Source organism: Homo sapiens, chromosome 2 (assembly GCF_000001405.40).
Source record: "Homo sapiens chromosome 2, GRCh38.p14 Primary Assembly".
NCBI lineage: Eukaryota > Metazoa > Chordata > Mammalia > Primates > Hominidae > Homo > Homo sapiens.
This window is the reverse complement of record NC_000002.12, coordinates 207542995-207558376: the sequence shown is the minus strand read 5'-3', so window position 1 is coordinate 207558376 and position 15382 is coordinate 207542995. Positions and strand designations below refer to the sequence as shown.

The 15382-nt window shown below is 38.6% G+C and overlaps 1 protein-coding gene across 20 annotated transcripts in view; it reads right to left on the bottom strand.

Moving 5' to 3' along the window:
- The window catches only part of CREB1 (cAMP responsive element binding protein 1), a 76027-nt gene that overhangs the window by 47612 nt on the left and 13033 nt on the right, over positions 1-15382 (bottom strand). For 19 of the 20 annotated variants that reach the window (NR_135473.2, NR_163946.1, NR_163947.1 and 16 more), the window contains exon 2: positions 2628-2749. Coding sequence is in view for 17 of the 20 variants with exons in the window: in XM_011510646.4 (XP_011508948.1) it covers positions 2628-2741 (114 nt within the window). In the remaining 3 variants the exon portion in view is untranslated. Of the gene's footprint in view, positions 1-2627; positions 2750-7781; positions 8024-15382 lie in introns of those variants that run through there. The other variant, XM_047443435.1, reaches the window with a different exon arrangement.

Below are 15382 nucleotides of genomic sequence, written 5' to 3'. Positions count from 1 at the left end.
CCTTAATTGAAAAAGAGAATGCAAGAAGTAAGGATAGGCTTTTGGGTGACTGGGGTTGTAATGGAAGATGATGAAACTACTCTGACATCTGAATTTGTAGAGATGTTTATTTTAGCAGGCAGCGAAATATGTGACTGTGAAGCCTGGGGGGAAGATCCCTATAAAGACAGTGTCTTTGGCATATAGGGTAAAACCAGAAGCTTCCATCTCTGGATAGTAATAAAGTCCTTACTTATTAATCACTTTCTCTCTGGCCACTATAAATCTTGCTTAGTTTTATTTGATTCTCAAAATGTGGTCCATGGAATAGCTTCATTAGAGTCACACAGGATACTCTGTAAAGTCAACTCTAACAGGAACCCAATCATACTTTCCCGTACACTGAAGTTTGAGAACCATAACCTTATTCAGAGTATCTCATCTCAATTCCATATAAATGCTCTTGTAATATTTGAAGCAATTACTATGTTCTCTTTCCTGAGTCTTCTCTAGGGAAAATATACCTAGCTAACTCAATGAATAATCCCTTTTCTACACTAATAATTTTATATAATGGCTCCTCTCATTATAAATTTATAAAATACAGATATAAAAAATAAAATAAAAACCCTTTATATTCCTATCACCCATAGCTAATCACTTTTAATATTTTTGTTGTACATCTTCTAGATGTTAAGGCACATGTACATTCAATTTTTATTTGTATTTATTTACTTTTTGAGATGGAGTCTCGCTCTGTCACCCAGGCTGGAGTGCAGTGGTGCGGTCTCGGGTTCATGACATTCTCCTGCCTCAGCCTCCCGAGTAGCTGGGACTACAGGAGCCCATAACCACACCCAGCTAATTTTTTTGTATTTTTAGTAGAGACGGGCTTCACTGTGTTAGCCAGGATGGTCTCAATCTCCTAACCTCGTGATCCGCCTGCCTCGGCCTCCCAAAGTGTGGGGATTATAGGTGTGAGCCATCACACCCGGCCCATACATTCAATTTTTATAACATGCTATCTTTACTCAGCCAACCTTTCTTTCTCATAAAACCACTGAAAAACATGCTTTACCATATCAAAAACACAAACTGTGAGAAAATGGAAGTAGGGAGAAAGGAATTCCCAGGATGACACAATACAGCCTACTCTGGGGACAACCAGACTGGACAAAATAGTGTGACTCCAGAGATAAGATGTGTTAAGGGCTATCATCATAAAGAAGCCTGCTGGCATTGCATCTTCTTTTTTTTTTTGAGAGGGAATCTTGTTCTGTCACCCCGGCTGGAATGCAGTGGCGCAATCTCAGTTCACTGCAACCTCTGCCTCCCGGACTTAAGCAATTCTCCTCCCTCAGCCTTCTAAGGTCGCTGGATTTACAGGTGTGTGCTACCACGCCTGGTTAATTTTTGTATTTTTAGTAGAGATGGGGTTTCACCATGTTGGCCAGGCTCGTCTTGAACTCCTGACCTCAAGTGATTCGCTCGCCTCAGCCTCCTAAAGTGTTTGGATTATAGGCGTGAGCCACAGCGCCCGGCCTAGCATTGTGTCTTCCTCTTTCTAAAGGGCAAAATATACAGATGAGCCCAGATTCTTATCTGTTGACCCTATATTGATGGAAGTCCTGGCTCTCTCCCCTTCAATCCTGCAGCCTGCCTCGTATGAGTACATTAGATGTATTTGGCTTTGTCTTATTCCTGAAGGCTGGAGGTAAACCCTGGTGGTCTTAGGAGAAAACACAGAACAGCTCACTCCTTCTGACTATATTCTTGCTGGAAATCCAGTATCTGGCTCACACTACCTCAGCCAGACACCCAAGTGTGGTGAGTCCTCTATTTCCCATGATTCATTCTTGCTAGGTGACTTCTCTAGGAACTTTTAAACTCTTGGAGAAACTGAAGCTACATATATCAGAGCTTCTGCTAGGATTATATTCTCCTGGGAACCTTCATCTGAAAGAGACGGTATCACACTATTACCTAGCAGGTCTGTATCTGCTATTTGTTTTTTAAGTTAACCACCTTTCTCATTCCTATCTATGTAAACAGCTGTTAATAAAATAGTTGAGGAGAATGCATGCAAACAAAAACATAAGAATGAGAGAAAATATTCTTAAAGATAGGATGTTAAAGAGAAAGATGAAATGAAAGAATCAGAAATTATATTTAAAATATACAGGAAACAAAAACTGCTATCATCCTTAAAATTTCCTTACATGTCAATTTATTTGCTTATCCTAATTTTTAGTTTAGTTATATAAACTTAGGCTTTCATATTATCTGCATTCCCACTGTTAAAAAATAAATCTGTGTCATATTAAAAAAATAAAAAAAGCAGTTGTCATACATAGCCAAGGTTTTCTTCCCTTATCTGAGAGCACCATTTACCCATAAGTTTAAAATGTAATTATTTCTGGATCATTTCACTAAAAATACTGTATTATTGTTTAATAATACATTTTACTGTTATTGAATTAATACTATCATTTCTAAATATACTCTAATACTAAGTAAATAGGAATTTTGATATTGTAAGAGTATCTCTGCTCATTCTATGTATATCTATGTAATAACAACTAAATTCTCTTGGAAACGTATTCCTCTAGGAAGAGACACAAACTGGAATCTCTCCATGTATTTTATACCTGGGCTAATGTGGCAATCTGTGGCTGGGCTTGAACTGTCATTTGTTGGTTTTCAGCTTCTGTTACAGCTGCATCTCCACTCTGCTGGTTCTCGGCTCCAGATTCCATGGTCATTTAGTTACCTATAATAATATGGAAGAGTGTTACAAGCACCACAGTGCTTTGTGCTTTCGTGACTTTAAAGGCAAATTTCAAGTTATAAATAGGTATATATGTGGTGGTTAGGTTACCAAATGAACTCAGAAATCTAGCTAAAATATAATGTAGCTGAATTACCATCAAACTTATTCAAATTTGCTGAGCTATAAAAGTTCTAGTCCCTTCAAAGAAGAAAAAAACATTTCTTCTCCCTTGGCTGTTTCTTCCCAATGGGATATTACCTTGTCTAGAAATAAAAGATTCTTCTCTTACATAAATCTCCCCTACTAACAAGGAGAGGTGCAGTGGTAGCAAAATTATAATTTTTCAAAACTATACTAATCAGGTACAGAGAGATGGCAGAAGAGTGGAAGTGAGCTAATGATGACAGAGTTTATTAGATATTGGCTTCATAATACCTCCTATAAGGGTATTTCCCCCCATAAGAAGGAAGAAACAGCAATTGTAAGCTACTTCTAAAAGTGATTACTAGTGGTAGGACAAAATCAGCCCGTTTCAAGCCCAAAATTTTTTAGAGATGAGGTCTTGCTCTGTTGCCCAGACTGGAGTGCAGTAGCATGTTCTCACAGTTCATCTCAATCTCAACCTCAAACTCCTGGGCTCAAGTGATCCTCCCGCCTCAGCCTCTGGAGTAGCTGAGAATACACGTGCATTGCACCATACCAGGTAATTTCAAGAGCCCAAGTTGTGGAATTTCAAGGTAGAAAGGTGGAATAAATGGCCACAGAGCCAAATTAGAGGTGCCAAACACTGAAAAAGCATTCTGATACCTCACCCCATGTATAGCATGCAACACTATACTGTACACATACATCCACACACAGAGAAATCTTTTATTTATATATTTTAATTGTAAAATTCTGGGTAAGACAAAAATTGATCTTACATTTGGACTCTGCTTTGCTAAGCACTTAGTATATTTGTAGGGTAATGTAACACTGGATGGCAGCAAAAGTGGAGTGGAGAGCAATTCCTACCAGCAGTAGCTACTGTAAATCAAGGTTAGAGAAATCTCTGGTAACTGGGGAAGCAATCCTGTCTAAAGGATTCAGGAAAATAGGCAATGTTTCTAGTGCCTATTATAATTCAGTGCCTCACATATTATGTGTCAAAACAAATTTGTTAATAGTGAGGGACTACCTTTAGTGATTCCACAAACAACACAAAAAGCCCATGACTTTTCCAGAATATATTTCATTTATTTTATAACTCTGAAATTGGTCATCAAAACTGTCACTGATCCTTGTGATCATTACACTCCATCACAATGTATTACATACTAATACATCTTGCTATCACTCATAAGGTTCTATAAAAAGAAAGTGTTTTACAAGTGACAGTTCAAAAAATGGAAATGAAAATAACTCTGTAGAAATGAATATAGTTTGGAAATACCAAAATCCACAAAACACAGATGACAAGGAAAAAGATCAACAGACTTGACTACATTATTTAAAATATTCATAAAGCCACAAGTGCACTGACCATATAATCGATAGTAATATCCAGAGATGTAGCTCAACAGTATTCACTGTAAAATTTTTTAAATCATAGCAAAAAAACCCCTGAAAACAATTATCCATCATTAAGAGAACCATTACAAAATTGTAACCATGAAAAAAAATTAATATATTGACACATTGTAAAATAGAGCCCCATTTATTTTTTTAAAAAAGTAAAACAAATTGTTGTAAAGGTTTATGCATGCAAAAGGTGTGCAAGATTAAACACTAAACTATAAGCAGTAGCTCTGAACAGAGAAACAGAATTTTGTAGAACTGTACAGAATGACTTTCACCTTTAACTCTTCACATATTTCAGTATTTTAATATTGACTTAAGTATCTTTCTTCCCATGAGAATGGATTCAGGATTACTTGGATAATTAAAACAAATTTTAATATCAGAAGACATATATAACACTTTAATAAGCCAAAACTATACTTTAATCATGATTTTGAGATGCATACAAAGTTTTTTAAACACCAGATACTTTTTTATATGAAATTACCATTTTTGTTTACATTTTGCCTATTCACCCTGTATTTCTAAATTATAAGAAAACTTAAAAATTATCAAATAACTCTGGTTATTATCAAATAATCAAATTATCAAATAATAACTGATTAATTCACTGAGTTATATTTTGCAAACTGTGGTCTTTTAAACTCAAAATAAGAAAGACATCAAATGTAACAAACAACAACAACAAAAGTTTACCTGGGCCCGGCGCGATGGCTCACGCCTGTAATCCCAGCACTTTAGGAGGCCAAAGCGGGTGGATCGCCTGAGGTCAGGAGTTCAAGACCAGCCTGGTCAACATGGTGAAACCTCATCTCTACTAAAAACATAAAAACTAGCCGGGTGTGGCAGTGGGCACCTGTAATCCCAGATACTCGGGAGGCTGAGGCAGGAGAATTGCTTGAACCCAGGAGACAGAAGTTGCAGTGAGCCAACATGGTGCCACTGCACTCCAGCCTCGGTGTCAGAGTGACACTCCATCTCAAAAAAAAAAAAAAAAAAAAAAAAGTCTACCTGTAAGTTATCCGTAATTTTCATCTTGAAGAAAATGGCATATAAAAACAAAAAACTAGTTTCAATAACAATAAAATAAAATAAACAAATGAATACACTCAATGACAGTAATGAGTCAAAGTATTAAGAGCAGACATTCACAGCCGGGCGCGGTGGCTCATGCCTGTAATCCCAGCACTTGGGGAGGCCGAGGCGGGTGGATCACCTGAGATCAGGAGTTCGAGATCAGCTTGGCCAACACGGTGAAACCCGGTCTCTACTAAAAATACAAAAAATTAGCTGGGCGTGGTGGCAGGTGCCTGTAATCCCAGCTACTTGGGATATTTGGGAGGCTGAGGCAGGAGAATTGCTTGAACCCGGGAGGCGGAGGTTGTAGTAAGCCGAGATCGCGCCACTGCACTGCAGCCTGGGTGACAGAGCAAGACTGTCTTACCAAAAAAAAAAAAAAAAGACATTCACAATTTTTTCTTCATTTTCTCCCCCTGTAAACCATCATTTTATCTAGAATAAAGATAAATACAAATGTATCATACCTCCTTTGTAGACAGGGTATACACAACCATTTTTGAAAGACTTTATTCCAAGCCACATTTTTAAAGCTATGCTGTCATCTGGTATGCGTAGTTTTACCCTACCATTTGATTAAACACAATCTAATGCACAGATTGACCATTTCTTTCATTTTTATTTACAACACATTGAGACTACTTAATCTTTTTTGACATTTAAGGTATAGAACACCATTACAACTTTTTGTTTTAGAAAATATTACTCCATTACAATAAAGGAACAAAGCCATTAGTGAATCCAAGTAAATTTTAGTTACAAAGACATACTCAAAATGTTTTTCATCCTCTTCCCTCCACAACTCGATATTTCTTTTTAAAACAAAGTGTGTATAGGAGCCCCATTTAAACAACTGGTGTTTTATTATCATTTCATTCAAGCAGCCTACCAATCCTTTTTAGGGTAGAGGATAGCCTTCTTAATTTTTTTTTTTTTTTTTTTTTTTTTGAGACGGAGTTTCGCTCTTGTTGCCCAGGCTGGAGTGCAATGGCTCGATCTCGGCTCACTGCAACCTCCGCCTCCCAGGTTCAAGCAATCCTCTTGCCTCAGCCTCCTGAGTAGCTGGGACTACAGGCACCCGCCACCATGCCAGCTAATTTTTTATATTTTTAGTAGAGATGGGGCTTCACTGTGTCAGCCAGGATGGTCTCGATCTCCTGACCTCCTGATCCGCCCACCTCAGCCTCCCAAAGTGCTGGGATTGCAGGTGTTGAGTCACTGTGCCCAGCCGAAAAATGTCTTCTAAGTTTAAATCCTCTGATCCTAGGAGCTGAGACCATAATTACATGGCCACGTAATAAAATAACATTTATGGTAAAGGAAGTATTTCCTTTTACTATATACTAATACATATAACAAAGAACGACCCATTGAGTAAGAGGTCACCTAGCCTCTTGATCCTAGGCAAATAGAGATATTCCCATCCATCTGTATAACCATGAGACTGTAATACAACCTGAGATTATTAGCATTTTTTAAAAAAACTACAAGTCATACTATTACCCAATGAAGGCTCTTAGTGGAGATTGTCTTTTATCTATTATGTTGCTCTGGTCATAACTGTCGTTAGAGTTATTAAACAGTTAATTAACAGTCCCTTTGCTTAACTTGTAAAGTTTTTCCTTTCCATCCTAGCCTCACGAAATTTATCTGATTAGATTTCCCAATAGTAAAGGGCTGTAACACTTTCACACCCCTTTCCACAGTAAAAACAGTAGTAATTAAAAAGTTTAAAATGTAGTTTAGGTAAACATCTCAGCAAAGTGTCAAATGAGTGCTTCCTCAGCATTTAAAAGAAGAGACTATGTTCAGCAATAGTCAGGAGAATGAGAGAATTCCAAAGAGGCATTAATGATGAATACAGTATTGATAAGTTTTGGAAGAACTTTTTCTATAAGAAAAATGGTATCAGCAAAGGGTTGAACTATAGCCCTGTATGGAAATGAGCAAGTAGTGGCTGATAAGAGACTTTGCATAGAAAACAAGGAAAAAAGGTAAACGATAATAGCCACTCAGAATAAAGCAATGAACAGAATAAAAATTTTAAAAACTCTGCTTGTATGTAGCTTACATTCTAGTAAACAAGTAAAACACGTAAGTCAGATGATGGGAAGCGTGTAGAAAAATAAAGCTGGGAAGAAGGTTGGAGGTTCTCAGTACAAGGCTGACCATCTAACTCTTACTAATAAAGTAGCATTTAAATTCATCTACTCAAGACCTGCACAGAACTATACTGAATCAGGGACAAATTCTGGCACCACTGTTTCCTTACCTGACTACCTATAGCAAGTTAACAAAAATCTTCATCAAATTACAAATTAAAGCTCATAATAGAAAGCAAGCGCATATTACCACTTTTTCTTTCAATCATTAGGCAAAAGGAAAGAATACATACTTTCGCCTTAAAATATTTTGACCTTTAGGAAGTGTCCCAGTCCTTATAATCGTCAACATTCTAGTTCAAGTTTATGAAAAATAAACCCATCTTCCCCACAACCTAGTAAACTTTTAAAACTCCTAAATCTAGGGCAATTTTGATCCCATCTAGGATCAGAGATAATATTCAAAGAAATGAGTTGTGAATTTTGACTCTAAAGAAATAATACATTCATAACTAATGGAACACATGCTATGGTTTAAAAAAAAAAAAAAAAAAAGAATGACCTCAACTAGAAATGAGAAAAACACATTTCCCTGCACACTAACAAGTGGGCAACTCCTCCTGAATTCTCAGCAATCAAAAATTCCAGGGATTTAAGGAAATCACATGGCAGAACTCCAAAGTCTCCAGGGTAACCACAGCAAAACACATATTTGGGCACATGATTTTCAAACTAAATGACTATTTTGTTGTCACAGTCAGATATGTTAACTAAAAATACTCTGCATAAATATATCTATAAGTACCTACATGTGATACATAATTATGTCTACACAGTTATGTTGTGCCTGTATTTAGTTTTTAGGGTAACTGTTTGAAAGCCTTGCTAATACATTCTTTTCTCTCTTTTTTTTTTTTTTGAGATGGAGTCTCGCTCTTTCGCCCAGGCTGGAGTGTGGTGGCACAATCTCAGCTCACTGCAACCCCCGCCCCTTGGGTTCAAGCAGTTCTCCTGCCTCAGCCTCCCGAGTAGCTGGGACTACAGGTGTGTGCCAATTTTTTTGTATTTTTAGTAGAGATGGGGTTTCACCATGTTAGCCAGGATGGTCTCGATCTCCTGACCTTGTGATCTGCCCACCTCGGCTCCCAAAGTGTTGGGACTACAGGTGTGAGCTCGTCTAATTTTTTTGTGTTTCATCGTGTTAGCCAGGACGGTCTCGATTTCCTGACCTTGTGATCTGCCTGCTTTGGGCTCCTAAAGTGTTGGGACTACAGGCGTGAGCCACTGCACCCCAGCCAAAGCCTTGCTGATACATTCTTACATCCTTCAAATGTCTTAATTTTCTAAAGTGTTATAATGTTCAGGTGCTACACGATAGATTTTAGCTTTCCAAGAATCAATAACTAGGGTGCACTGTCTACTGTTTTCCCCTACTTTTTTTCCTGCACCTTTTTTTTTTAAGCGGGGGAGGGTTAACCTTAAAATACTTGTCATTTATCTTTACCATATGTCCAACCTGGCAGAACTGAGCTGTTATCTAATCAATACTGGAAACTTAGCAATGCTCCAGGTTTCTGATGCTAATAATAGTCTATTGGTGTTAAATATAGCACACTTTCATTGAAACCAGACAGGCAAAAAAGCATATTCAAATGTCATATGCATATACATGTATGTATATATGTACACACACTCCTCAACATAGATCAACCTCAACTGAATAAACTTTAGATTAGACTGATCACACTGTAACAAAGGTTATAAATATTTTAAGGGAACAAGTCAGAGCAGACAATGTGATAAATGAAAATAAATTGGTATCTTTATCAAGCTGAGTTTTCCCTGTGCTCCTACCAAGGTCTTTCTGCTTTTAACAGAGAACAAATCCTTATTTCAGCCTCCAATCTAGATATTACAAAGCAAGAAAAGTTATACATGAAGTTAACTCTGTGATCTGAATTTGATAAGATTTAAATTACTTATATGACAAAAATAAAAGCAAGCTTGAAAATTTGTTTACTTTTATAAACTGTATTAATAGTAAATACCAAAATAACCCAACCACCACCATAGTCATCAAAAACAGGGCAATAAATAGCAAAAAGGAATCTTTTTGGGGGGGAGCGGGGGAGGCAGGCGGGGACAGAGTTTTGCTCATTGCCCAGGCTGGAGTGCAATGGAGTGATCTCGGCTCACTGCAACATCTGCCTCCCCGGTTCAAGTGATTCTCCTGCCTCAGCCTCTCAAGTAGCTGGGATTACAGATGTGCACCACCACACCTGGCTAATTTTTGTATTTTTAGTAGAGACAGGGTTTCACCATGTTGGCCACGCTGGTCTCAAACTCCTGACCTTAGGTGATCTACCCGCATCAGCCTCCCAAAGTGCTGGGATTACAGGTGTGAGCCACCGGGCCTGGCCCCAGGAATCTTTTCAATATTATTTAAGAAAACAAATTCCCTGATTTATTTATTGGATTTAGCTCAGAGAAACTGTTTAAGTTCAATATTTTGTATTTTATCATTGCAGTTTTGTAATTACCAGGGTATTTGAATGCCATCCTTGATAAATAAATTTGTTTTTAAAAAATGTAGCATATTCTATGACAAAGATATTGTTCTTGAAGGAAGTATTTAACAGAAGTGTGTTAGAAATAATGCCAGCCAGATGCAGTGGCTCACACCTGTAATCCCTGCGCTTTGGGAGGCCTAGGCGGGCAGATTACTTGAGGCAGTTTGCGATCTGCCTGGCCAACATTGTGAAACCCCGTCTCTACTAAAAATACAAAAATTAGCTGGGCGTGGTGGTGTGCACCTGTAATCCCAGCTACTCAGGAGGCTGAAGCACAAGAATGCTGTACCCGGGAGGTGGGGGTTGTAGTGAGTCGAGATTGCACCACTGCACTCCTTCCTGGGTGACACGGTGAATGAGACTCCATCTCAATTTAAAAAAAAAAAAATCATCTGATATATAGAAACATATTGCATGGTTTGACAGCCATCTCAGAATATGTGACTAACTCTATAGCGCCTTTCAACAAGAAAGCTGTAGTGCTTTCTTAAAGTTTTTTGTTTGTTTGTTTGAAATTAAGTATTTGCAAAGTTTACTTGCCTTGTTTTCCTTCAGGTAAGACTATACTCATGAATTTGAAACAAGTCTTCATGTATGTGACCACCAAGAGACAGTGTTGCTTAGCAAAGCAGCAGCCACGACTATGCAATATTTTAGATAATATTTTTATCTCATCTCTTTCCATTCCCCTTTCATTCCAAACACCCACTTAATGGGTGTTTCACAGCTTTTTACACTTTGAACACTTGGAAGAATTGATCTCACAGAAACCTCTATACATGAAGTGTTACTAAATGGCTATTTGGAGCTCATTTTTTTAAGAAAAAAAGGATCACATACTTCCTACATACAGTTACTTTGACAAAAACAATTTTTATGTTGACTAAAGAATGAAGCTGTCTTCAAATGTTAGTTCTGCTTCGTAAACTAGCTCAATGCTGAAACTGTAAGTACCCAAAAGTTACTATGCCCCGAAGTTAAATATGTATAGCCTACTTACATTTACTTAAGAAAATCAAAGTGATTACGTCAAAATCACTACATCCAAATGGGAGATGAATGTCCAAGTGTTTTTTAAATAAGTTTATGAAGTAACATCTGTTATTTTGAACTAAATTTTGAAATGTTATTCTTGGTGAATTATTTACAAATTGGACATGGAAGAGTGAAAATTCAGTTTTCTTGAGGTGAGACAGCACATGTTATGGGAGGAGTCATAATACAGGAATTCTGGTGTTAGCTAACTTCACAGATGGAGAACAAAAGATGTCAAGAGATTTGTAAGGAATGTTCAAGACTTCAGGGTTATAACAGCCTCCAATATTACAAAAAATGAGGAGTTCTCTGTAATATTTGGGAATGGAACTATGTGGACTATTATGCAATATGCTAATTACTTTTATTACATTTTGCTTACTAGTCAAACAGCAAAGGAAAAAGCCCAAGAACTCAAAGGTACCAAGGATATACTGGACTACATTTAAAAACTGACCATGGTTAATCTTTAAAACTGACAAATGGCATGCAGGCAACAGTACATACTTTATGTACAGGCTTTGATTTGTTTTTGTTGTTTTTTGTTTTTTTTTTGATATAGGGTCTCACTGTCCCCCAAGCTGGAATGCAGTGAGTGGCATGATCTCAGCTCACTGCAACCTCCGCTTCCCAGGTTCAAGCGGTTCTCTTGCCTCAGTCTCCCAAGTAGCTGGGATTACAGGCACCCGCCACCACAGCCAGCTAATTTTTTTATTTTTAGTAGAGATGGGGTTTCACAACGTTGGCCAGGCTGGTCTCAAACTCCTGACCTCAGGTGATCCGCCCACCTCAGCCTCTCAAAGTGTTGGGATTACCAGCATGAGCCACTGCGCCCAGCCTATTGTTGTTGTTTCTTTTTTAATCTTACGGTTCACTCTTGGTGTTGCACATTCTACAGATAAATGCGTAATGATATGTGTCCACCATTACAGTATCATACAGTGTGTTTTGCTTTATGTACGGTTTTGATAAAAGACTTGCTTCAAGTTCGGGCATCTTCATCTTTAATCTTGAAAGAATCAACATCAAGTCCATCCTTCTGTGTAGATGTACTGTTTTTCACCAACCTGGTGGTGATTTCTGGTAAGGTCATTTTGATTACTACAATCTCACGCTATTTCTCATGTCTCAGAGGCTGGAAGTACTGTCATAGTAAAGTATCAGAGTTAATAAAAACTCAAAGTAGAAAATCTTCCTTTTAAGCTTTGGACAATGAATCTAATTTCCTCAGTTAAAGAAAAATATGTTTGGCCAGGTGCGGTGGCTCATGCCTGTAATCCCAAGACTTTGGGAGGCCAAGGCGGGCAGATCACCTGAGGTCGGGAGTTCAAGACCAGCCTGGCCAACATGGAGAAACCTTGTCTCTACTAAAAAAATACAAAATTAGCCAGGCGTGGTGGCGCACGCCTGTAATCCCAGCTACTCGGGAGGCTGAGGCAGGAGAATCGCTTGAACCTAGGAGGCAGAGGTTGCAGTGAGCCGAGATTGCGCCATTGCACTCTAGCCTGGGCAGAAAGAGCGAAACTCCATCTCACAAAAAAAAAAAAAAAAAGTTCACTTCCTTTAATCTGTACAACTCTAAAGAGAAATTGTTCTTAACCTTTACCTTTCAAATTTATGACCCTTTAATAGAGAATCACTCATTAAACAAATATTCTGCGCCTACTACGTAGTAACGACTACAGCATTTTCAGCAGAACTGAAAATTACTACATAGTAGTAGTCCCATACTATGGGACTATAGCATAAAACATATAAGAACCTTTCTCTGGAATTAGGCCAGGCGGAGTGGCTCACGTCTGTAATCCCAGCACTTTGGGAGGCCAAGGCGGGTGGATCACTTGAGGTGAGAAGTTCGTGACCAGCTGGCCAACATAGTGAAACCTCATCTCTACTAAAAATACAAAAATTAGCCGGGCATGGTGGCACATGACTGGAGTCCCAGCTACTCAGGAGGCTGAGGCAGGAGAATCACTTGAACCCAGGAGACAGAGGTTGCAGTGAGCCGAGATCATGCCACTGCACTCCAGTCTGGGCAACAGAGTGAGACTGTCTCGAACAAAACAAAACAAAAATAAAAGAACCTTTCTCTGGAATGCTTCTACATTGTTGGTGGTGTTAGTTCAACCATTGTGGAAGACAGTGTGGCAATACCTCAAAAACCTAGAGGCAGAAATACCATTTGACCCAGCAATCCCCTTACTGGATATATACCCAAAGGAATATAAATCATTCTATTATAACAATACATGCACGCATATGTTAACTGCAGCACTATTCACAATAGCGAAGACATGCAATCAACCTAAATGCCCATCAATGACAGACTAAAGAAAATGTGGTACATACACACCATGAAATACTATGCAGCCATAAAGAACAAGATCATGTCCTTTGCATGAACATAGATGGAGCTGGAGGCCTTTATCCTCAGCAAACTAATACAGGAACAGAAAACCAAATACCGCATGTTCTCATTTGTAAGTGGGAGGTACATGATGAGAACACATGGACACATCGGTGGTTGGGGGGACAACACACACTGGGGCCTGTCAGAGGGTTGGGGGTGGGAGGAGGAAGAGCATCAGGAAGAACAGCTGGTGAATGCTGGGCTTAATACCTGGGTGATGGGATGATGTGTGCAGCAAACCACCATGGCACACGATTACCTATGTAACAAACCTGCACATCCTGCACATGTACCCCTGAACTTAAAAGGTGGAAATAAAAAAGAACCTTTCTCTCAAGAGCTTACAGAAACTAATGAGAGATAAAATATGTACTATATATGAAAGAGCTTGACAGGTATAAATTATTATAACTAGTTTAACTATAAATTCCTTCCAAACAAGTACTTAACATCAGTAATTTAAAACCATAAACTTCTATTTGGAAATGGTAGGAATACAATGAACTGTGGAAAAAAAGAAAGAATAGCTGCCTATTTATGGTAATCTGATGCAGATCTGATTAAGAACATAATGAAATCAATGTATTTTTTCATGATCTTGGCTAGAATATTTACCCTAAGTGAGCTACTTACAAGCCTAAACTAATATTGCTTAAAAAGAAAAATTTTGGCCGGGCAGTGGCTCACGCCTGTAATCCCAGCACTTTGGGAGGCCAAGGCGGGCAGATCATGAGGTCAGAAGATCGAGACCACAGTGAAACTCTGTCTCTACTAAAAATACAAAAAATTAGCCAGGCGTGGTGGCGGGCCCCTGTAGTCCCAGCTACTCAGGAGGCTGAAGCAGGAGAATGGCATGAACCCAGGAGGCAGAGCTTGCAGTGAGCTGAGATGGTGCCACTGCACTCCAGCCTGCACAACACAGCGAGACCTCGTCTCAAAAAACAAACAAACAAACAAAAAAACAAATTTTGGCTGGGCGCCGTGGCTCACGCCTGTAATCCCCAGCACTCTGGGAGGCTGAGGTGGGCAGATCACAAGGTCAAGAAATCGATACCATCCTGACCAACATGGTGAAACCCTGTCTCTACTAAAAATACAAAAAAATTAGCTGGGTGTGGTGGCATGCACCTGTAGTCCCAGTTACTCGGTAGGCTGAGGCAGGAGAATCACTTGAACCCAGGAGGCAGAGGCTGCAGTGAGCCAAGATAGCACCACTGCACTTCAGCCTGGTGACAGACTCCATCTCAAAAATAAATAAATAAATAAATAAATAAAATTAATAACCATTAATAAAACAGAAACCCTGAAAACTTTACAAAGAGATAATGCAGTACTACAAGAGTGATGAAGACTACGCCTTACTTACTGTGAGTTTCTACACACATCACTTAAATTCTCCACGACTCAGCTTATTTGTAAAAAATGAAGGAATGACTACTCACTCCCCCTTCATAGGTAAATGTTTGTAACTGTGAATTTCCCAAATATGGTAGAGTTTATAAGTTATAAACTACCATCGCAGTCATTATAATAAATTCTCTCATAATAAATAACAAATTCTTGGATCATAGTTACAACTGGGCCTCTGTATCCAAAGATTCAGCATCTGTGGATTCAACCAACTGCAGATCAAAGATATTTGGGGGAAAAAAATCCCCAAGTCCCAGAAGTAAAGCTTGAATTTGCTGCATGCTGACTCCTATGCTGAACCCATAAGAGTCAAGTGATGGGCAGGCACTGTATAAGGTATTATAAGTAATCTAGAGATGATTTAAAGTATATGGGAGGATATTTGTCGATTACATGCAAATACTATACCACTTTATATAAGGGACTCAAGCATCCGTGGATTTGGTACCTGAAGGGGTCCTGGAACCAA